The sequence below is a fragment of the Homo sapiens genome, chromosome 1 (genome assembly GCF_000001405.40).
Source record: "Homo sapiens chromosome 1, GRCh38.p14 Primary Assembly".
Taxonomy (NCBI): domain Eukaryota; kingdom Metazoa; phylum Chordata; class Mammalia; order Primates; family Hominidae; genus Homo; species Homo sapiens.
Window position 1 is genome coordinate 23,430,314 of NC_000001.11, and position 21,137 is coordinate 23,451,450.

The following is a 21,137-nucleotide window of genomic DNA, read 5'->3' on the forward strand; positions in this document are numbered from 1 at the left end:
CCATTCTGAGGAATTCCCAGAGGAACAAGGGACAGAAGAGGCTTCTTTCCCAACACAACTGGCTCTGATCTGTGCCCACTCCTAGGTTCAACTAATATATGCCATTGTTGGAGACTTGGTGATTCAGCAGGGAGAAGCTGGATTAAGGATGACAGCTCTTGCCCTGTCCCTGTCACATCCCTCTATGCCTGGGATCTGAAAGTCCCTGTGGATTCCAGGAGACTCATGAACAAGGGGAGAGTTAGGCAAACAAGGGCTGGTACACGGCCACCTAATCCTGCCTCTTCTGCAGGGAAGTGATGCCTTCTCTGAGCGACTGGCCTGGCTAACACAACTTTCCTCATCCTCCCCTGGGGAGAAGCCAGAGCTTGGGCCTCATGATCACTGCCATCCCTCAAGGCCTGGGCTCTCCTCAGCTTCACCCAGCCCTGGGCTGGAGCATGGAAAGAGGAGCACCAGGACAGGGACTGGCCAAACTGCAGCCACCTGGGCACCAGGACAGGGACTGGCCAAACCGTGGCCACCTGGGCACCAGGACAGGGACTGGCCAAACCGTGCCCACCTGGGCACCAGGACAGGGACTGTCCAAACTGTGGCTGCCTGGGCCCATCTGTACCCCAACCATGGGGAGGTCTCCCACCCCAATACGCCTACTCTTGACTAACTCTGCCTCCCAGGCACCCTGCCACCGCCCCTCAAACCATGGTCCCAGAGTTCCTACCGGCACGTTCCTTCTGGGCAGAGGCTGCCTGGCTGAGGGACCATCTTCAGGGCTCCGCGCCCCCCGCCGATAGGAGCGAGTGCTCTCGGAGCTGGAAGGCAGGGAAAGGCCAACATGACCCTCATGTCCAGAGAGCCCCTCAGAGTGGGGAGAAAGGGCTCAGGAACAGAGCCAGTCTGGGGGCTTAGGATGGGTGGGTAGAGTCCACAAGGCCCCCAGGCCAGGTCCATCACAGGCCCAAGAAGGCTGGAACTGACCTCCAGAAGACTCTGTGGATATCTGCAGGTCTACTTCTCCCCAAACTCCAGACTGAATGGGTTTGTATGGAAGGGAGAAGACTGGATCCTGGGTTGGAGGTGGGGACAGAGTGAAGACCCCACTGAGAGCCTCTAGAATAAGCCACACAGGGGGCTAAGCCTACTTTACTCCAACATCAGCAGGGAGGATCCCTGGCTCCTCCTCAGCTCTCCATGCAGGATTTGGGAGCAAGTGTGTGAAGGGGGAAGGGGTCCCAGGGTTCAGCATTTCTGCATAAGTGATGGGCCCAGAGATGGCGTGTGACCCAGTCTTTAGGCAGGTACTATTTAGAGGTGTGGAAATCAATGGATGCTCAGAGAAGTCAGGGGATTTGCCCTGGTTGCACAGCTGGGCCCTCACCAACCTGAATCTGACGGGGAGGTACATCTCCGAAGGGGTGGTCCCGGATGTCAGGCTGGGTCTGGAGGTGCCTGGGGGCTCTCGGAGGCCCTCTTCAGAGTTGGGTGGGGCTTGGCTGGGATCCCCAGGTTCCAAGGGGCTCATCAGACTGGAGGAGGAGGCTGGACTGCCCAGGCTCTCAGGGGTCTCAGGGGCCTCTGAACTCAGGCTGGAGACTTCAGAACGATCTGGAATCAGAAACATCAGAAATGATAAAGCTTTTCTTTATCACTTGCTCTGTGCCCAACCTCAAAGCAGTCTCTGGCCTCTAGGATTTTTTTTTTTTTTTTTTTTGAGACAGAGTCTCACTCTGTCACCCAGGCTGGAGTGCAGTGGTGCAATCTCGGCTCATTGCAACCTCCGCCTCCCAGGTTCAAGAGATTCTCCTGCCTCAGCCTCCAGAGTAGCTGGGATTACAGGTGCATGCCACCACACCTGGCTAATTTTTGCATTTTTAGTAGAGATGGGGTTTCACCATGTTGGCTGGGCTGGTCTCAAAATCCTTACCTGGGGTGATCCGCCTGCTTCGGCCTCCCAAAGTGCAGAGATTACAGGCACGAGCCACCACATCTGGCCTAGGATCTCTTCTGGTTCTCTGCCAATAGTCCATTCCCCATCTACCTGTCCAGTATTCTCCTTCAACTGATGAAGCCTTTGTTCGCGGTGGCCAGGGCCATGCTGACTCACTTTTTTGCTTGTGCTCATACCCTGTCCCAGTTTGGATTCTCCTGCTCATCCCTCAGGTTCACTCATATGCTATCCTCACCAGGAAGCCTTCTTAAACCAACCCCCAATCCCAGCAGGACATGCTCCCTCTCCAACTGCCCCAACCTCCCACAACAAGTCTGTTCCTTCATTCGACAAATAGTTCTTGAGAACAGCCAGGCTCTGCGCTAGGCACTGGACAAATAGTATTCAATGAAACACTCAAAGTCCTTGTCCTTTTGGGATTTACATTCTATATCACATTGTGCCTTGTATTATAATGAATTGCATTCCAGTTTTTATCTCCCCTACTAGACTGTGTCTTGGTAGCCCTCAAAGGACTCAGGATGAAGGGGATGCTCAATAAACTCGTTTCTCTCTTGTTAAGTGGAGCATTGAGGAATTTGGAATAAGATGGGCTGAGATTTGAATCCTACATCAGAGACTTATTAGCTGTGGGATCTTAAACATGTGACTTAACACCTCTGTTCTTTTATCTGTAAGGGGAAGATGAGAACCCCTTCCTGGGAGGTCATCATAAGGATAGTACGGACTAACATATGCACTCAGCTCAGTGCCCCAGCATATACAGGTCCTCTGTGAATGGCATGGTGAGCATTTATCTGGGCATCCAACTGTACCTCCACTGGCATGTCTTGCACACCCTTGGACCAAAGTCCGAGAAGAGTTTTTGACTGGCAAGGGCGGGGGACAGTCCTCACTCTCGCCCTGAGGGGTGGCTGCTCCCAGGCTGGCGACAGTCTCATAGGTCTTGTTGCTGATGTCCAGCCTCCCACTGGCCCAGTGAGCCTGGGCCGGGAGCTTCAGCAAGCAGCGCTGCCAGAGCAAAAGATTGAGGATGAGGACAGCCTGGTTCCTCCGGTGTAGCCCTGTCCCCCCGCCTCACCGCCCCCGCCAACACACACCAGGCCCAATCTGGCTCTTTCCTTCTGCCATCCAGAGGCCTGAGGGACAGGGCTGGGACCCACCTTCTCTTCCTCATCCTCCTCACTGTCAGAGCCAGGCTCTGTGGAAATTACCCAGGAGTAGTCCACATGTAGAGGGAAGGCAAAGGTCCCCGCCTGGGCCTGCTCCAGCTGCCAAAAACAAAGGCTTGGTGGTTCAGAGGGTTGGGGGCTCAGCAGGGAGAGAGAAAGAGTCAGGGGCCCCTTGCCTCCCCGAGTCCTCACCAGCTCCTCACACTCCTTGTGGTGCTTCTTCCTGGCTATGTCCAGAGCTGTCTCGCCTGCTTCATTTACTGTGAGCGGGGAAAGTCAGGGTTCATGGTCATAGTCAAAGAAACATTACAGCTTAGAGATTAAGACGGGCCTCTGGAATCAGAATGTATGGGTTTGAATCCTGGCTCTGCCATTTTCTGGCTATGTGACCATAGGCAAGTTATATAACCTTTTGGGACAAAATTGTTTATGAAATGAGTATAATACTTGGAACTACCTGATGAAGTGGTTGTGAGGATTCAATTAATTAACATACAAAAAGCACTTGTCCCATTGCCAGGCATATGTTAAACAATACATATTAGCTATTACAATCATTATCATTCAGATCTAGCTAATATTTATTTGCCTAAGTACTCCCAGAAATATTATTTTCTTTTTTCTTTAGCAGTCCTGCTAGGTCAGTGGTATTATTCCCATTTTACAGATGAGGAAGCTGAAATTCAAGAGCTGAATGACAAACCCCTAAGATCACAGAGGTGGTCAGAAGCAAGCCAGGATTAGAGCCCGAGACCATCGGAAGTCCACATAAGGGGTAGTCAGGAATAGGAGTCTGACGGAGGAGGTATTCAAGCCCCACCTGTGCCAACCAAAGCTCTCCCCTTCAGCAGCAGCTTGAGGCAGTCGGGCTGGTTGTAGAGTGCTGCGTAGTGCAGAGCCGTGTTCCCGTCAGCAGCCTTGGCATCCAGGTGACCACTGGGGAGAGGAGGGTTCAGGGAGAAAGGAAGGGGAACAGATCAATGAGGGGATCAAAGTCAGGGGAAAAAGTGGGAGGGGAAAGGAGGGAAGAGAATGGGAGAAGAGGAAGGAAAGGAGAGGGAGTGTGAGGAGCCAGACAGACAGGCAGGGAGGCTCTCACCCGTTCTGGATGATGAAATCCACCAGAGGCAGGGAAGCCTGGTTGGCGACTTTGACAGCCAAATGCAAGACGAGTTCTTCAGGTGCCTGAAAACACATCCACACCTCTGAGATTCCCCCCCCAGTGCACCTGCCTCCAACCCAGTATTTCCCTCTTGAACTCTTGCTAACCCCTTATCCCCCCATAGGAAGCTGCCAGAACCCTGGAGAGATGAGACTGCAAGGGCAGAGCCTCATGTCTGGGAGGAAGGTGAAGGGCCATTCTCCCATTGTTCCCATTCACGGCTCTTCCTCCTCTGCCCCCAACAAGTGTTTCCCAAACTTCTTTCTCAGCTCTCGGCTCCTCTCCCTGATCGCACTTCCCCACCAAGACCTCAGCAACCTCACATTTTCAACTATCACACATGTGCAGGCTGTTCCAAATTCTTACCTCACCTAAGTGCTGCACTGCCCATTGGATAGCCCACCAAGATATCAGACAGACAGTTCAAAGATACCCGTTTTTAGTTTTTCTGAGACAGGGTCTCGCTTTGTCACCCAAGCTGGAGAGCAGTGGCGCAATCACAGCTCTCTGTAGCCTCAACCTCCTGGGCTCAAGCCACCCTCCCACCTCAGCCTTCTGAGTAGCTGGGACCACAGGTGTGTGCCACCATACCCAGCTAATTTTAGTTGTTGTTGTAGAGATGGGGGTTTCCTTATTTTGCCCAAGCTGATTCTGAACTCCTGGGCTCAAGTGATCCTTTCACTTTGGCCTCCCAAAGTGTTGGGATTACAGGCGTGAGCCACCACACCCAGCCAACATCCAATTTTTGATGTCGAATCAGTCAGCAACTCCTGTTGATTTACTTTTTCAAATGTCTCTGATATCCTTTCTCCATGCTCATGTGTTTGTTCTTGGAATAGCCAAAGCAATGTGGCCTTCCTGGCTCTAAACTGACATGCCCTTATATTTCAGGGCTATTTAGGTGAAAGAAAAAGATATTAACGTTTATTGCATGCCCATTGTACACTAAGCCCTTTATATACATGACTTCTCACTTCATCACCGTGGGTGCTATTATTAACCCCTTTTATAGATGAGGAAATGAGACTCAGAGAAGTAACCTGCCCTAGATCACACAGCTAGGAAAAAACAGAGCCAGGATTCCCACCCAGGTCTGCCTGACTGAAGCTGTGCTCTTTCCCACTTACCACTCTGATGGGTGAGATCTGAGCAGATGTCAGAGGTGGGGTGGAGGGGAGTAACAGCTGGTCCTGGAGAAGAACTGGGGAATATGTTAGACAGGTGGGTTATAAGTGGCCCTTGGAGGGGTTCTCACCTGTGCATCAGGCCCTGGCAGCGGCTGTCCAAAGTCCTGCCCATTGGCAAAGGCCTCCAGTACCGACAGGAGGTCCCTGTTGCAAATGGCTGTCCAGAGTCGCTGAGGCTCAGGTGTGCACCGGCGTGCAAACCTATGCTCCACATACTTGGCCATAATGTAGTCCCTGCGGGTGCCCCTACCAAAAACAACCACAGGATCTCAGAGCATGGACCGTGTCTGCCCAGCTGATCCCTGGGGCCCTCCCACAGGAGATACAGCTCTCTTTTTCTCCAGAACCATGTCCTGAAGACGTCTAGATCTGAGGCTCCCCTCTCCCCAGGCTTTTTTTTTAGACAGTCTCACTCTATTGCCCAGGAGGGAGTGCAGTGGCGCAATCTCGTTTCACTACAACCTCTGCTTCCAGGGTTCAAGCAATTCTAGTGCCTCAACCTCCTGAGTAGCTGGAATTACAGGCGTGTGCCACCACGCCCAGCTAATTCTTGTATTTTGAGTACAGGCGGGGTTTTGCCATCTTAGCCGGGCTGGTCTCAAATTCCTGACCTCAAGTGATCCGCCCGCCTTGGCCTCCCAAAGTGCTGGGATTACAGGCGTGAGCCACTGCGCCCAGCCTCCCCAGACTTCTGATCCAAGACTTTTCTACGACCCTGGACACTGCGGAGGCAGAATCCCCTAGGCAGGGTGCCCCTCTCTCTGAGAATCCCCTTACATGTCACTCTCAGCTGAGGGTTTAGGGCCGCCGTGTGAGGGTAGCTGGGCCTCCATGACCTCATTGAAGCTCGTGTTTCCCATGTTCAAGGCCAGCTGGAGTCGTAGGAAAATAGACGTGGGGCGGAGTAAGACCGGGCGGTTAAGCCTGCATAGGGTGGAGCTCCAAGCCCCCAGAGTCCCGCCCCTCGGCCGCCCTCCCGGTTCAGGCCCCGCCCCTGACCACCCGCTACCTGGCTTGTCCCAGCCCACCTCGGCCAGGTCCCACCCACAACCTGCAAGCCCCGCCCCCGGATGAAACTACACCCCTAACTCCGCTTCTGGCCCCTTCCAGGCCCCGCCCCGCCCTCACCAACAACTCGGAGGGGCCCAGCAGGTCCAAGGTGAGTGACTGCATGCGCGAAAAGCGCACGCCCAGTTCGCGGTGGACGCCCGAGCACTGGATGCAGGTGAGCACGCCCAGGTTGGTGCTGAGCCACGTGGGGTCTGCAGAGGAAAGCAGCTGGAGCCTGGAGGTGCAGCCCCTCCCCTCCACTTAAGCCTCCCTCCTGCCCCGGCCCCGGGGACCGACCTGCAGCCCCGCAGTCGCAGCACTGGCTATTCCCAGGCCTGCTCTTCACCTCCGCGATGAGCAGCTTTGTGAGGTCGTGCGGCTCCCCATCATGGCCGGCGGACCCCCAGGACCCCGGGCCAGCGCTGGGCTCCCCGAGGAAGGCGCTGCTCAGGGCTTCGTCCTTGCTGTTCTGCAACACTGACACCCACCTGCGGAGATTGAACGGGGTGGGATGGGGATGTCAAGTGGGAAGAGATAGGGCCGCCGGCCCCCACCCACAAGGCTGGCCGGGCTGGCCGAGGGGGCACTCACGCCTCACACTCGTGCTCGTCCTCTGCCTGAAAGTGGTACGTCCGGTTGTCTGTCGGGAGAGAAGGGGGCTTCTGACCCACAGAAATGCTGCTGGCCTTCCCGGAGCCCAGGGAGCCCCCACCAAAGCCGCTGGGGCCACATGGAGATGTGTCCCTGACAAGTCGGACTCTCAAGCTAGGAGTGGGAAGGGAGTGGAATGACAGTGGCCAGCACCAGGGGCAGTTTCTCAGAACTGGCCTCCGAAGTAGGATCCCAACAAAGCTCCCTCTGCGTGAAGCCCTGGTTCCAGGCTCAGACGAGGTCTCAAAGGGCTTGGAACCCCAGAGAACCCAGCTCTGAGGCAGGGCATCCTCTGAACCAACTGTCACCACCCCACTGGGCCCTTCCTGGTCTCCTCCTGGGCGACCAGGCCTCCTGTCTGGTCTCCCTGCTTCCCATTTCCCCTTTCCCCTAGCCTGTACCAGCTCCCAACTGTTGTGCCCAAGGCTCTGCTCTAATTACACCACTGCCCTGCCCCAAGATCTCCCATGGCTCTCTATTGCCAGGAAATAAGGTCCAAACTTTTAAGAGGGATTTCCAGGCCTCATCTCTCACTCTGCTACATGAACCCTCCACTCTGGCCAAACCGGCCAGACCCACTCTCCTGCTTCCATGCCTTTCATCATGCTAATCCTGTCTCCTCAAAAGCCCCCACCCCACAAACTCTTCATTCTACATGTCCTTCAAGGCTAAACTCAAATACTGTCTCCTCCAGGAGCCTTTCCTGATTCCCCACAGCAGTGCAGGCCTTCCTGCTCCCTAATCTTCTATGGGGCTATATCTGCACCCATCTTCTGGACAGCCCCCTCATCTTACAGTCCTGGGTACCCACCCCACACCCCTGCCAGAGAGTTTCCTGAGGACAAGATCTAGGTCTTTCTCAGCCTGTGTCTGCTCTCACACAAAGCCTGCACCAAAGGCTCTGAAGAACGAAAAGTAGAAAATGTAAAGAAACAATAATTTCATCTCCTTCAAGTCTGGGTATTTGGGAAAAAAAGGTAAAATTTTAAAAAAAGAAATAATTTCAAAACCCAGATGACCCAAATCCACTCAAATATGCTCTGTATAAATAGCCACATTTATTATGTAAAGTGGGTGCATTTTGACATTTAATGTGATGTGGGTATCCTAGACCTAAGGATTCTTATGTCTGCAGTAGCAGCAATTCGACACCATGTGTGGAACTGGACACAGACCCCTCACTGAAGCCCCCCGGGAGCTGACAGGTGTCTTAGAGAAGCCCTGAGCAGCTGTGGGTGGGGGAGAGGCACAGGGACCACTCACGGGTCACCAGGTCGAAGCACTTTTTCTCCTCAGGGTTTGGCCTCACTTGGCACGTCAGCAGGGTCAGCTTCACCGGGGGCCGGTTTATCTGTGGGAATTTAGGGGCGGAGGATGTATGCATTACCTCTGGCCCTCCACATTCTTTAGGCCTCCATTTCCCACTCTGTTAAATGGGCATAATCATCCTGTTCCATTTGTGTTTCTCCTCACCCAGCAGCACCTCAAGGATGTGAAGTGTAGACTAAGACTAGATTGGGGCCTTCAGGTCCCATCTGTCCTCCCAAACGGGTCTCCAGCTCCCTGGACCTAGGTTTGGGGGCCAGTCTTAGAGGGAGGGCTTGACATTATTTGCTCAGAACACCAGAAGAAGAGGGTCCATCGTGCCCTGAGACTCCCACCACCTCTAGGCCTCACCGTGCTGTGTGAGATGGTCAGGCAGCCATACTTGACTCCACACTTCCTTTTCTGCCAGACTCTTCGAATTCTAAAGCCCAGAGGGATAGAAGGACAGTGACCCAAGGCTCACACCTAGTTCGCAGGTGTCAGAGAACAGAAATTTGCCCCCACCTGTATGATCTCTAGCCACATCCCTTTACCTCTTTCTTCTCCTAACCCTACACCCCCACCCCTGACCCCTGACTCTCTGGGGCTCCCTTCTGATGGAGGAGACACAGTTCTGCTCTTAGGAAGATGCCAGTCTGATGGAGAAACACAGCCTCACTCCCTGGGAATCCTTATTCTAAGGGGATGATGTGACTTTGGCCCTCTGAGAGCTCCCAGTCTGATGGGGGAGACATAGCTTATATCATTAGGGAGCTCCTAGTCTGAGAGGCACAGGCTCTTGACAACAACAAATAAATTGTGGTTCAACTAAGCAAGATCAATATTAATATCCCCAAAATAAAATTAGCAAGTCCATGATCCAAAACTCCGTAACACTTCTCCTGTAACAGGTAAATATTCATTGGTTTCTTCTTCAAAGTTATTCTTCTCCGATTAAACTGATTGGTAGGTAGAAACATGAATATATCCCACAAGGGCCTTTGCATTTCACAGCAGTTTTGTTTTTTTGTTTTGTTTTGTTTTGAGACAGGATCTTTCTCTGTCACCCAGGCTGGAATACAGTGGCACGATCTCGGCTCATTGCAATCCCTGCCTCCCAGGTTCAAGCAATTCTCATGCCTCAGCCTCCCAAGCAGCTGGGACTACAGGCTCACGCCACCATACCCAGCTAATTTTTTGTATTTTTAGTAGAGATGGGGTTTCACTATGTTGGCTGGGCTGGTCTTGAACTCCTGGCCTCAAGTGATCTGCCTGCCTTGGCCTCCCAAAGTGCTGGGATTACAGGTGTGAGCCACTGCACCTGGCCCACAGACTGATTTTTTTTTTTTTTTTTACACTAGGAAGCAAGGCACAGCCAATACTTTCATTTCTAGGCATATTCAGTATATTGCAGAGATTAATTAGGGCATAGGCTGGGCGCAGTGGCTCACGCCTGTAATCCCAGCACTTTGGGAGGCTGAGGCTGGCAGATCACAAGGTCAGAAGATTGAGACCATCCTGGCTAACACGGTGAAACCCCGTCTCTACTAAAAATACAAAAAATTAGCTGGGCGTAGTGGCGGGCACCTGTAGTCCCAGCTACTCGGGAGGCTGAGGCAGGAGAATCGCTTGAACCCAGGAGGCGGAGGTTGCAGTGAGCTGAGATCACGTCACTGCACTCCAGCCTGGGTGACGGAGGGAGACTCCATCTCAAAAAAAAAAAAAAAAAAAAAAAAAAAAAAGAATGAGGGCATAGTAAGTGTTGCAATAAGTGTTAGCTACTGCCAGCCGGGCGCGGTGGCTCATGCCTGTAATCCCAGCACTTTGGGAGGCTGAGGCGGGCGGATCACAAGGTCAGGAGATCGAGACCATCCTGGCTAACATAGTGAAACCCCGTCTCTACTAAAAATACAAAAAAATTAGCCGAGTGTGGTGGCGAGTGCCTGTAGTCCCAGCTACTCGGGAGGCTGAGGCAGGAGAATGACATGACCCGGAAGGCGGAGCTTACAGTGAGCCGAGATCATGGCACTGCACTCCAGCCTGGGCGACAGAGTGAGACTCTATCTCAAAAAAAAAAAAAAAAAAAAGTGTTAGCTACTGCTATTCTTCTTCTTTAACTTAAAATAACCAGTCACCTTTAGCAGAAGTTCACATGCCCAGGTGTCCTGGACAACCCAGGAATTGAGGATTTTACATTGCAACCCTCGGTGTCTACACAAATGATTAGAACAGTTCCTTTGGGCAGCTTCCCCAACCCTGTCATTTACTTGCAGTGTGACATTGGGCAAATTATGTAAGCTCTGAATCACTTACCCGTCACTTTTCTTGTATAGAAAGCCCACTTTCTCCGTCCCAAACTGCTTGTTGCCTTGGTGCTGGTGGATGCTATAGCCACATCCTGAGTTCTTCCGGCTCAGGTGTTCCTGTCCCTCGGACATGCAAAGGAGACCTCAGGGCATCTCAGTGGGAAGAGCCCCATTCTGCGGGGGCTCACTCAGGGAGACTTCTCCAGGGGACCCTGTGGGTCTTCCTTCTCTCCCTCCCTCCACGGTGGGCCTTGGGGGAGGGCATTCCTTTTGGGATAGTTCAGGGGCTGACCTCTCTGCTCTCAAGCTGCAGTGTCCCTCGGAGGGAGTCCCGGAGCTGGGTCAGCTTCTGTAGCTCGTCCTCCTGGGCCTGATGGAGCTATGGGACAGAGGATGGGATCCCATCACCAGCCAACAAATATGTCAGGCACAGAGCCCAGACCCAGAAGAGCAGAGCAGTAGCCTCACTCTGTGGGCAGAAGCCAGCTCTTCCACACCCACAGATTTTCCTGGAAGGACAGGGGGCTTGATCACGTGCCCAAGGGTGAGACCCAACTTACTGCATGTACTGAGGCCGCCAGCTTCTCGATGAAGGGGAACAGGCTCTGGGCAGCCTTCCAGCCATCTTGGAAAAAGCTAAGAGGTGTCAGAGGCCAAACAAGGGTCCAGATAAAGATGGAAATGAGAGATGAAGCCAGAAGTGTGGGAGAAGCTGCCGTAAGGATCACAGGGCACCTCAGGGAATTGTAGTCTGACGGTCAAGAACAGACACTCCATAGACAAGAGTCTCTCTTGACTAGGTTCAAATCCCACTTACTAGCTATGTAATCTTGGAAAATAAGCCTCAGTTTTCTCATCTATAAAATGGGGATAATAGAGTACCTGCTCCCAGAAGTGTTGGGGAATTGAGCGAATTGATGTTTGTAAAGTACTCATGCCTGACACCCGGTGAGCACTCAATGAGGAACTATGAAAGTTCTGCCAAAAAGATGCAGGCCTCCAAAGAGACTCTCAGGTCTATCACACCTTGAGAGGGGCCTTGTTCTGTGACACTGGAAGGGTTAGTGGCAGGGACGCGGGAAGATACCTACTTGTGCTGGGCGTGGAAGAACTTGATGAGGCTCTGAAGGAAGTCAGGACCTTGCTTCATCTGGCTCTCCCCGGCTTTGAGCAGATACTAGGAGGAGGGCAGGGCAAGATACGTGATGTGAGCTGAAGCAGAATCCTGGGAACGAGGGGCTGCAGTCCCCATCCCAGGCTAATCCTCCTGGCTGCGACTGGGCCTTGGTGACATCCCACAGGGCCATGTGGCCAGGACCTGAGCTGAGGCTGTGACTGGTCCCCTGGAGAGGCAGACAGGAAGACACATCCCACGCCCCCCCTCCCTCATCCAGAGCACCCCTTACCTCACACATGTGCAGCTGGAAGATGCGCCGCTCTCTCTGCATGTCCTGGGCCACCTCCCCAGGGATCCCTCCTGTCACCCTGGCCCGATCGCGCTCCTTCTCCAGCTTGGCCCTAGACCCCAAGGAAAGAGAAGCCTGAACAAGTCTCACCAGCCCCTATATCCTCTTCTGCCAAGGATGCATGAGCAAAGGGGCCACATGGTGCAGGAGGCCCTCCTGTGCCAGCTGTGTGGTGGGGCTGGGTACAATGAACAAGACAGTTTAGGGAATCCACAGAGTGGTGGGGGAGAAAGACATGAATCAAATCACAGCCACGCAGAGAACTATGGGAGAGAAAATGGGGATCCAACCTCGTTGGGGCTAGTTGGGAAGTGATGTCTGAGCTGGGATCTGAAGCCTGAGAAGCTTGGAGGAAGCTACTGCTGGGCAAGAGGGATGGACCATGTGATGGCCCCAAGGCAGGAGCGAGTGCCAAGATGGAGAGGGCTGGTGCCAGCTAAGGTAAGGAGGTGCCAGACCATGCAGGGTCTAATTCACACCATGTTAATATATTCTTGGTCTTTATCCCAAGAGTAATGGGAAGGATTTGAAGGTGTTTATTCAGGGGGATGAAGGACTCAAACAAGGGCCAAGTGAGATTTGGGGCAAACAGTTCTGATTTTCCTGGAAAGGATTTAAGAACACAGGTGCCTTCAATCTTTTTTATTTGTATTAATTTTATAGATTCAGGGGGTACAAGTGCAGTTTTGTTTCGTGGATATACTGTGCAGTGGTGAAGCCTGGGCTTTTAGAGTACCCATCACCCGAATAGTGTACATGGTACCCAATAGGTAATTTTTCATCTCTCACCTATCCTCCCACCTTTTGAAGTCTCCAATGTCTACTATTCTGCTCTGTCTGTCCACATGTACCCATTGCTTACCCCCCTACTTATAAGGGAGAAAGAACATGCAGTGTTTGACTTTCTGTTTCTGAGTTATTTCAAAGTGCTTTCATTCTTCTGAGCCCATGGAGCTTCATACTTAAAGCTCAGAAAACCTTTGTTCTTTTATTTTCTTTTTCTTTCTTTTTCTTTTTTTTAGTGCAGTGGTGCGATCTCAGCTCACTGCAACCTCCACCTCCCAGGTTCAAGCCATTCTCATGCCTCAGCCTCCTGAGTAGCTGGGATTACAGGTGCCCACCTCCATGCCCAGCTAATCTTTTTTTTTTTTTTTCAGACGGAGTCTCGCTCTGTTGCCCAGGCTGGAGTGCAGTGGTACGATCTTGGCTCACTGCAACGGCATGATCTTGGCTCACTGCAACCTCGGCCTCCTGGGTTCAAGCGATTCTCCTGCCTCAGCCTCCCGAGTAGGTGGGAGTACAGGTGGGTGTCACCATGCCTGGCTAATTTTTTTGTATTTTTAGTAGAGATGGGGTTTCACCGTGTTAGCCAGGATGGTCTTGATCTCCTGACCTCAGGTGATCCACCCACCTCAGCCTCCCAAAGTGCTGGGATTACAGGCATGAGCCACCGTGCCTGGCCAACACCCAGCTAACTTTTGTATTTTTAGTAGAGACGGAGTTTCACCATGTTGGCCAGGCTGGTCTTTGAACTCGGGCCTCAAGTGATCTGTCCACCTCAGCCTCTGAAAGTGCTGAAATTACAGGCATGAGCCACCACGCCCCACCGTGCTCTTCTCTTTTTAAGTGGAGACAGAAAGCGCTTCCCATCCTTGTAGCTAAGAGTAACTGGGGCCTTCCCCCTCAGAGGTTGGCTGTTTTCCCTCTTTGGGGATGGGTGGATCTGTGTGTAAATGGTTTCCTGGAAATCCCACGCCCAGCAGACTACCCACTCACAGCCAGGAGAGTATTTCCACATCTCAGGCTGGGTGCATGTGACTCCAAATCCCATGTAAAGGAAAGGGCTTGCTTAATAGTTCTGCTCTCAAGTGGGGGCCAGCCCTGAGCAGAGAAGACAAAGACAGAGTGGGATTAATACAAACTCTGCTGCTTGCTGGCTGCATTTATTCCCCTCTCTGAGCCTTGGTCTCCTCATCTGGAAAACGGAGATTCTTATCTGTACCCAGATGAGGCACAGCATGGAAAAGACTCAGCACATAGAAGACACATGGCAGCTTTTACTGTAGGCCCCTCAAGGCCTCTGTTTTCCCATCTGTAAATGGAGGAAGCAATGGTCTACGGTAAGTTCTCAGGTCCCTTCTGACTCTAAAGTTCTGGGCCCTCCTGAGTAGGTAAGACCTCTGGGATAGTGTTCATATACAGAATCTGTCCCTGGGGACCTGTAGAGCAGTTTCTCAACCATGGAACTGATAACATTTTTGGCCAGATGATTCTTTGTTATGGGGGGCTGCCTGGTGGTTTGTATGTTTAGCAGCCTCCCTGACCTCCACCCACTAGCTGCCAGTAGCATCCCCCCAGCTGTGACAACCAGAAATGTCTCCAGACATTGCAGGCTCTGTAGGCTTTTTTTTTTTTTTTTAATTTTAAAGAGGGGGTTATTTTTTATTTCCTTAAGCTTTCTGATACCCCAAGCAAGAGTTTGTAAAGAGTGGTAGAAGTAGGGTAGGAACTGATCCTGTGAACCAGGCCTGAGGGTCAGGACAGACTTCTTTGTGAATCTGAAAAAAAGCAGCAGAGAGGGGAGGTGATGGCTGGGCCTGCAGCATCTCAGCAGCAGTGCCTGGCAGCTTGCTATGGAATTAGGGAGGGCTGGGCGTGGAAGCTTATGCTTGTAATCCCAGCACTTTGTGAGGCCAAGGTGAGAGGATTGCTTGAGCCCAGAAGTTCGAAACCAGCTCGGGCATCATGGTGAAACCCTGTCTCTACAGAAAAATTTAAAAATGATCCAGGCATGGTGGTGTGTGCCTATAGTCCCAGCTACTCAAAAGGTTGAGGTAGGAGGATCCCTTGAGCCCAAGAAGTCAAGGCTGCAGTGAGCTGTGATTGTGCCACTGCACTCCAGCCTGGGTGACAGAGCAAGACCCTGTCTCTCCAAAAAAAAAAAGGAATGAGGGAGACCAAGTGACATCAGGTGGGCTGGCGTAGGGGAAGTCTCCCAGTGTACACTGTTACCATATCTTTCAATAGTCAAAAATGGAAAATAAGCTAAATGTCCATCAGTAGGAAGTAGTTAGACAAATAATAGTATGGCGATATATAGAAATATCATGCAGCTGTTAGAATGAAGATTGGCCAGGTGCAGTGGCTCATGCCTGTAATCCAAGTGCTTTGGGAGGCTGAGGTGGGAGGATCATTTGAGGCCAGGAGTTCAAGACCAGCCTAGGCAACATAGCAAGACCCCGTTTCTACTTTAAAACAAAATTTTAAACCATTATCCAGGCATGGTAGCATGGTCCTGTAAGTCCCAGCGACATGGGAGGCTGAGGTAGGAGGATCACTTGAGCCCAGGAGTTCAAGGCTGCAGTGAGCCATGATTGCACCACTGCACCCCAGCCTGGGCAACAGAGTAGACTCTGTCTCAAGAAAAAAAAAAAAGAAGAAGGAATATCTGTACATGTGATTGGCCCTCCATATCTGTGGGTGTAAAGCCTGAGGATATAGGCAGCTGACTAAGGGGCTTTAGCATCCTCAGATTTTGGTATCTGCGGGGGTCCTGGAACCAATCCCCCATGGATAATGAGGGATGACTGTACTGACATGGAAATATATCTGCTCCAGAGTAAATGGACAAAAAGCAAACCACAATACAGTACAGTGGTTAGAAATGTAGATTCTGGATTTGAATGGCAGCTCCTTCACTTACTTAACCTTTATAAAACTTTCTGAGCTTGTTTCCCCATTTGGAAAATGAGAATAATACTGTAGTCCCCCCTTCTCTGTAGTTTTGCTTTCTGTGGTTTCAGTTATTCATGGTCAACCCCTGTCCAAAAATATTAAATGGAAAATTCCAGAAATAAACAATTCATAAGTTTTTTTGTCTTTTTTTTTTTTTTTTTGAGATGGAGTTTTGCTTGTCACCCAGGCTAGAGTGCCATGGCGCCATCTCAGCTCACTGCAACCTCTGCCTCCCAGGTTCAAGCGATTCTCCTGCCTCAGCCTCCCAAGTAGCTGGGATTACAGGCGCCCACAACCACACCCAGCTAATTTTCGTATTTTTAGTAGAGCCGGGGTTTCACAATGTGTTTCAGGCTGGTCTCGAACTCCTGACCTCAGGTGATCTGCCTGCCTCGGCCTCCCAAAGTGCTGGAATTACAGGCATGAGCCACCATGCCCAGCCCAATTTGTAAGTTTTAAATTATGCATCATTATGAGTGGCATGTGAAATCCTGCATCCTTCTGCTCCATCCTGCCTGGAACATCAATCATCCTTTTGTTCAGTGTATTTACACTGTCTATCCAGCAGTCTCCAACATCTTGGCACCAGGGACTGGTTTCATGGAAGACAATATTTCCACGGATAGCAGGGTGGGGGAGGGTGGTTTTGGGATGGAACTGTTCCAGCTCAGATCATCAGGCTTAGATTCTCATAAGGAGCATGCAACCTAGATCCCTGGCATGTGAAGCTCACAATAGGGTTCGTGCTTCTATGAAAATCTAATGCCATGCTGATCTGACAGGAGGCGGAACTCAGGCGGTAATCTCGCTCGCCTGCCAACGCTCACCTCCTGCTGTTCAGTCCAGGTTCCTAACAGGCCTTGGACCTGTACCAGTCCATGGCCCAGGGGTTGAGGACCCCTGGTCTATACCACCTGCCATTAGTCATTCAGTAGCCTTCTTGGTTATCAGATTAGCTGTTTTACTATTGCAGTGCTTGTGTTCAAGTAACCCTTAGTTTACTTCATAATGGCCCCAGAGTGCAAGAGTAGTGATGCTACTATGTTCTGTTTTATTACTATTATTGTTCATCTCTTACTGTGCTTAATTTTTATCATAGGTACGTATATATAGGAAAAAGCACAGATTACATTTTAATGCCAAAAACTGCCGGAATTACTTTTGCACCAACCTAATGTAAGGTTCAGTATCATCTTCAGTTTCAAGCATCCACTGGGGGTCTCGGAACGTATCCCCCAAGGATAAGGGGGAACCACTGTAATGACACCTAGTCCTTGGATAATATAATGCATAGGAAACAGTACAGTTCCTGGCATATGGCAAGCCCTCAATGAATGGTAGGATTATGATGATTCAAGTGATGGCAATGATGACAGAGTAGTAAATACTGGTGATCCCTTTTAGATAATTTTTTTCAGCATATGGTACTTTCTTCTTTCTTTCTTTTATTTTTTGAATGCTAGTAGAGATTAAAAGATGCTACTTAACTCAAGGTGTAGATAAGCCGTGAAGTACACAACTTTGTCAATGTACTTCAGCTTTGACAAAATGTACACAGCTGTGACAAAATGGCTTTGTCAATTATCACAGTTCTGTCCCTCAGCCTCAGCTAAGATAATTCATAGAGATTTTCCCTACAAAGTCTGACATAGTCATTCTGAGATGACCTAATAGCTGGGGAGTGCTTTTCTTCCCCTATAAAATAACAAGTCCCATTCCTTCCCTATCCTCAAAGGATCACCAACATTTTTAAAACATTTCTAAAACATTTCAAATGTTAGAAACATTTTTCTGTCTTATGAGTGGAATTGCAATAGAAGGAATGAAATGAAATAGTGGGTGAAAGTACTTAAATGCTAGTTACTAAGACCGAGATCATTGCAGAAGGAGACTACAGCAACAGTCCAGTGTTATTCATGGGATGGGTACAGGTACTCCTGGTGCAGGCAGGAAAGTATTTAAATACCACACACCCACCAACCTTGAAACCTTGAGCCACGCTTAGGTGGCAGGGATTCCTCACTACTTACCTATAAATTGGGAATAACAATAGCAGCTTTCCCTGCCAGGGAGAATAAATCTGGTAATAGATGCAAAGACCTTACTCCACTGCCTGGCACAAAGGAAACTCTAAAGTAGAAGCTGCTATTATTACTAATTATTATTATTATTCTTTTTTAGAGACAAGGTCTAGCTCTGTCTCCCAAGCTGGTCTCAAATTTCCTGGCCTTAAGCAATCCTCCTGCCTCAGCCTCCCAAGTAGCTGAGATTACAGTCATTAGCCACCATGTGTGGCTTCTAAATATATGTATTATATTTATTATATATGTATTATTATTATCAATTTTTTAAATAGAGGCAAGGTCTCACTATGTTGCCCAGGCTGGTTTCGAACTCCTGAGCCCAAGTGATCCTCCTGTCTTGGCCTCCCAAAGTGCTAGGATTACAGGCTCCTAGTTATAATTTTTAGGCCCAGGCACTCTGCTAGGCCCTTCATATGTTAAAATTATAGCCCCATAAGGCAGGATCATTATCCCATTTTATAGAAGAGGAGCCTATGGCTGAGATAAGTCATTTGTCCAAGTCACACAGCTGTTAAGTGGTGGGGCCAGGAGTTGAACCCAGGACTGGCTGGTGCCTAAGCCTTAGGGGCAGCCCAAGCAACCAACACTGTGACTCAGGTTTGTTCCATTCCTCCTTCCCTGCCTCATTCCTGCGAGCTGCTGACAGTCACACTGTTTATTTTCTGAGAGATAACAGTCTCTCTCAGAACAGGGACCATTTTACAGATGATGAAGCTGAGATCCAGAGAAGGAAAATGGCTTGCACAAGATTAAAAGCTGGCTAGGGTAAATGCTACCAGCAGATGTGTGGGTTTCTGCCTGTCAATCTCTTCCTGTGTTATTCTGGTCCTAGTTCTGGCTCATATAGGTGGTCAATAAATACTTGCTGAACTGAAGTGCTGAGTGCTTTATATGCACCGTGCTTATTCATCGCCGCATTGACCCTGAAAGGTATTACTGTCCCTATTGTACAGATGAGGAAACAGACCTGTACATGGAACTGCCTAGATAAATTTGGCCTCTGTACAGGGCCCGGGATGCCTTTCTCAGCAGCCCCACGTGGAGAGGTAATCCTCCTCCTATATGAACAGCCAGGGGTGAAGCTCCCAGTGGTATTTGACAGATGCTATCAGGGCCCTGGGCCCTTCCAGCTGGGGCTCAGACTTGTTTGGTAGGAATGTGGTGAAATTACATAGGAACTTACGGCTCACGCATATCTGGCTACACCTGGAGCCCGTATGAAAAGGAGTGTACAGTCACCCGTGCCAAGACATTAGCTCAAACTATGTGGCTCCATGGTGGGAGCCAGGAGACCACATGGCAGAAATAGCACTAGACTCAGAAGCCCTGGGTTCTAGTCCAGGTCCTATCGATAACTCACCGAATAACCTCAGCCAAGCCCCCTTTCCCATCAACTAAATGGAGTCTGGCCTGTAAATGAAATGCTACAGGAAGGCTCAATATAGAAACCTAGGAAAAGCAGACCTGCTTTGGGAAGGTCAGCAGAGTAGAGCTTATTATTTCTATTTGGTAGACGATCCCCGAAAGTCTAACGGCTTAGTTAAGGTAACTCAGGAAGAAGAGGGCCATGTGGCCCCACAGCAAATCATGAAGACAAGGTCAGCCTGTGCCCTCACTACCCGTCCCTGGGCCTCCAGTGAGAGCAGATGGCCGTGCCCCATCACAGGCAGGGATAGGGCCCCACAGGGATGGCCACACAGTGTCTACACCCTTCATCACAGGATCTATGCCCACAGCTGGGGCTGGAGATGCTTGTGCAGGGACAAGATGTGACCTTGCCTCAGACTTGGAGCGGTGCCATGGCTCTGGGAGCTGAGGGAACAATAAAAAGCTCCAGGATCTACTTCTTGAAATTGATCCTGCAAAAATAATTATGAGTAGGGACAAATATTTAAATCCAAGGATGCTTCTCCAATGACAGGAACAGATTAAATACATAATGGCTTATGCAGGTTTTGGCACACCCGTTTGATTGATGTGGAAGAATATGTAATGGTGTACAAAGATGGCCACAATGTATTTTTTGAATGAAAAAAGCAGATTACAAAACAGTATGTTGTTATGATCTCATTTTTATAAAAACATTTCTTCATACATAGAAAAATAAATGTTAAAATGTTAATATTTTAGGCTTGAAAATTAAGAATTTTTCTCCTATTTTTGGGTAGTTTCTCCCCATCCAACCTTTTTTTTTTAATGATGAAAACTGCAATGTTACCCAGACCTTGTAAAAAAAAAAATTCAAACAACAGAGAGTATTATCCGCCTGCCATAACCCTAAGCCTCTGCTAAGGATGATTAATTTTTTTTCTTCTTTTACTTCTCCATATTTTCAAAATTATTCATAATAAGCATAAATTGCTTTGGCAAAATGCAAGAGAAAACAAAATTTTACAAAAAAGCACAAACAATGCTCTACAGTATGGGCCTGGCTGGGCAGAGGGCAAAGGCTGGGATCTGGACAGACTCCTCATAAGACAGAGCCCAAGGAGTCTCTGCCCAGGAGGAATTGGCCACTGGTTGACTGAGGCTCCTTCTTTCCCCATGATGTCCCAGTAGCTGGTGAGAGATCTGGAGTATCGTGTGGTGTGCACAGGACACAGAAAGCCATTTCCTTCTCTAGATATACCAACTGACACTGAGGAACGAGGAGCAAGGGGCATAAACCCCAGTTCTGCCTCTGCCAAGCTGTGGGGCCTTGGGCAAGTGACTTAACCTCTCTGAGTCCTCCTGTGGTAATTGTGATACTAATACCTCTCTCACACATGACAGGGTGACTGTGAAGATTAAATGGCCAGCACGCGGAGGTGTTTGGTCAGTGCTAGCTCCTTCCCATCCCTGCCCATGTCTGGCACCACTGAGCAGATGGGACTCTGAGAGCAGCATCCTGAGGTCCCTTCACAATAGCTCCTTTGGTGGTCTCGTGGCCCAGTCCCCAGAATCCAGTCAGGTCTGGGTATAAACAATCTGCTGTAAATGCCTCTACAGAGCCAGATGTCACCCAATTCTGGATGACATGTCTCGGCAGCATTTAGGTTCTTCCCTATCCAGCCTAAGTGCTACTCTCCCAG

At 50.1% G+C, this 21,137-nt stretch overlaps 1 protein-coding gene across 9 annotated transcripts in view, besides 1 other annotated feature; it reads right to left on the bottom strand.

The window, feature by feature from the left end:
• Nucleotides 1-21,137, bottom strand: part of ASAP3 (ArfGAP with SH3 domain, ankyrin repeat and PH domain 3) — a 56,069-nt gene that overhangs the window by 1,751 nt on the left and 33,181 nt on the right. For 3 of the 9 annotated variants that reach the window (XM_017001687.1, XM_047424481.1, NM_017707.4), the window contains exons 6-24: nt 12,188-12,299; nt 11,873-11,958; nt 11,342-11,417; nt 11,074-11,160; nt 10,789-10,898; nt 8,848-8,917; nt 8,434-8,521; nt 7,111-7,159; nt 6,817-7,007; nt 6,598-6,731; nt 6,247-6,341; nt 5,538-5,715; nt 4,220-4,305; nt 3,941-4,056; nt 3,313-3,380; nt 3,112-3,219; nt 2,764-2,959; nt 1,383-1,605; nt 722-812 (exon numbers count right to left, since the gene is read on the bottom strand). In XM_017001687.1, the coding sequence (XP_016857176.1) occupies nt 722-812; nt 1,383-1,605; nt 2,764-2,959; nt 3,112-3,219; nt 3,313-3,380; nt 3,941-4,056; nt 4,220-4,305; nt 5,538-5,715; nt 6,247-6,341; nt 6,598-6,731; nt 6,817-7,007; nt 7,111-7,159; nt 8,434-8,521; nt 8,848-8,917; nt 10,789-10,898; nt 11,074-11,160; nt 11,342-11,417; nt 11,873-11,958; nt 12,188-12,299 (2,164 nt within the window). Of the gene's footprint in view, nt 1-721; nt 813-1,382; nt 1,606-2,763; nt 2,960-3,048; nt 3,220-3,312; nt 3,381-3,940; nt 4,057-4,219; nt 4,306-5,537; nt 5,716-6,246; nt 6,342-6,597; nt 6,732-6,816; nt 7,008-7,110; nt 7,160-8,433; nt 8,522-8,847; nt 8,918-10,788; nt 10,905-11,073; nt 11,161-11,341; nt 11,418-11,872; nt 11,959-12,187; nt 12,323-21,137 lie in introns of all 9 variants that reach the window. The other 6 variants (XM_017001688.3, XM_017001685.3, XM_017001689.2 and 3 more) reach the window with 4 other exon arrangements.
• Nucleotides 13,883-14,177: a silencer, noted in NCBI's record as "tiled region #12987; K562 Repressive DNase matched - State 8:EnhW". NCBI's record gives its function as "represses a minimal TATA promoter and a strong SV40 promoter by Sharpr-MPRA in K562 cells {active_cell/tissue: K562}" and the evidence as "EXISTENCE:reporter gene assay evidence [ECO:0000049][PMID:27701403]".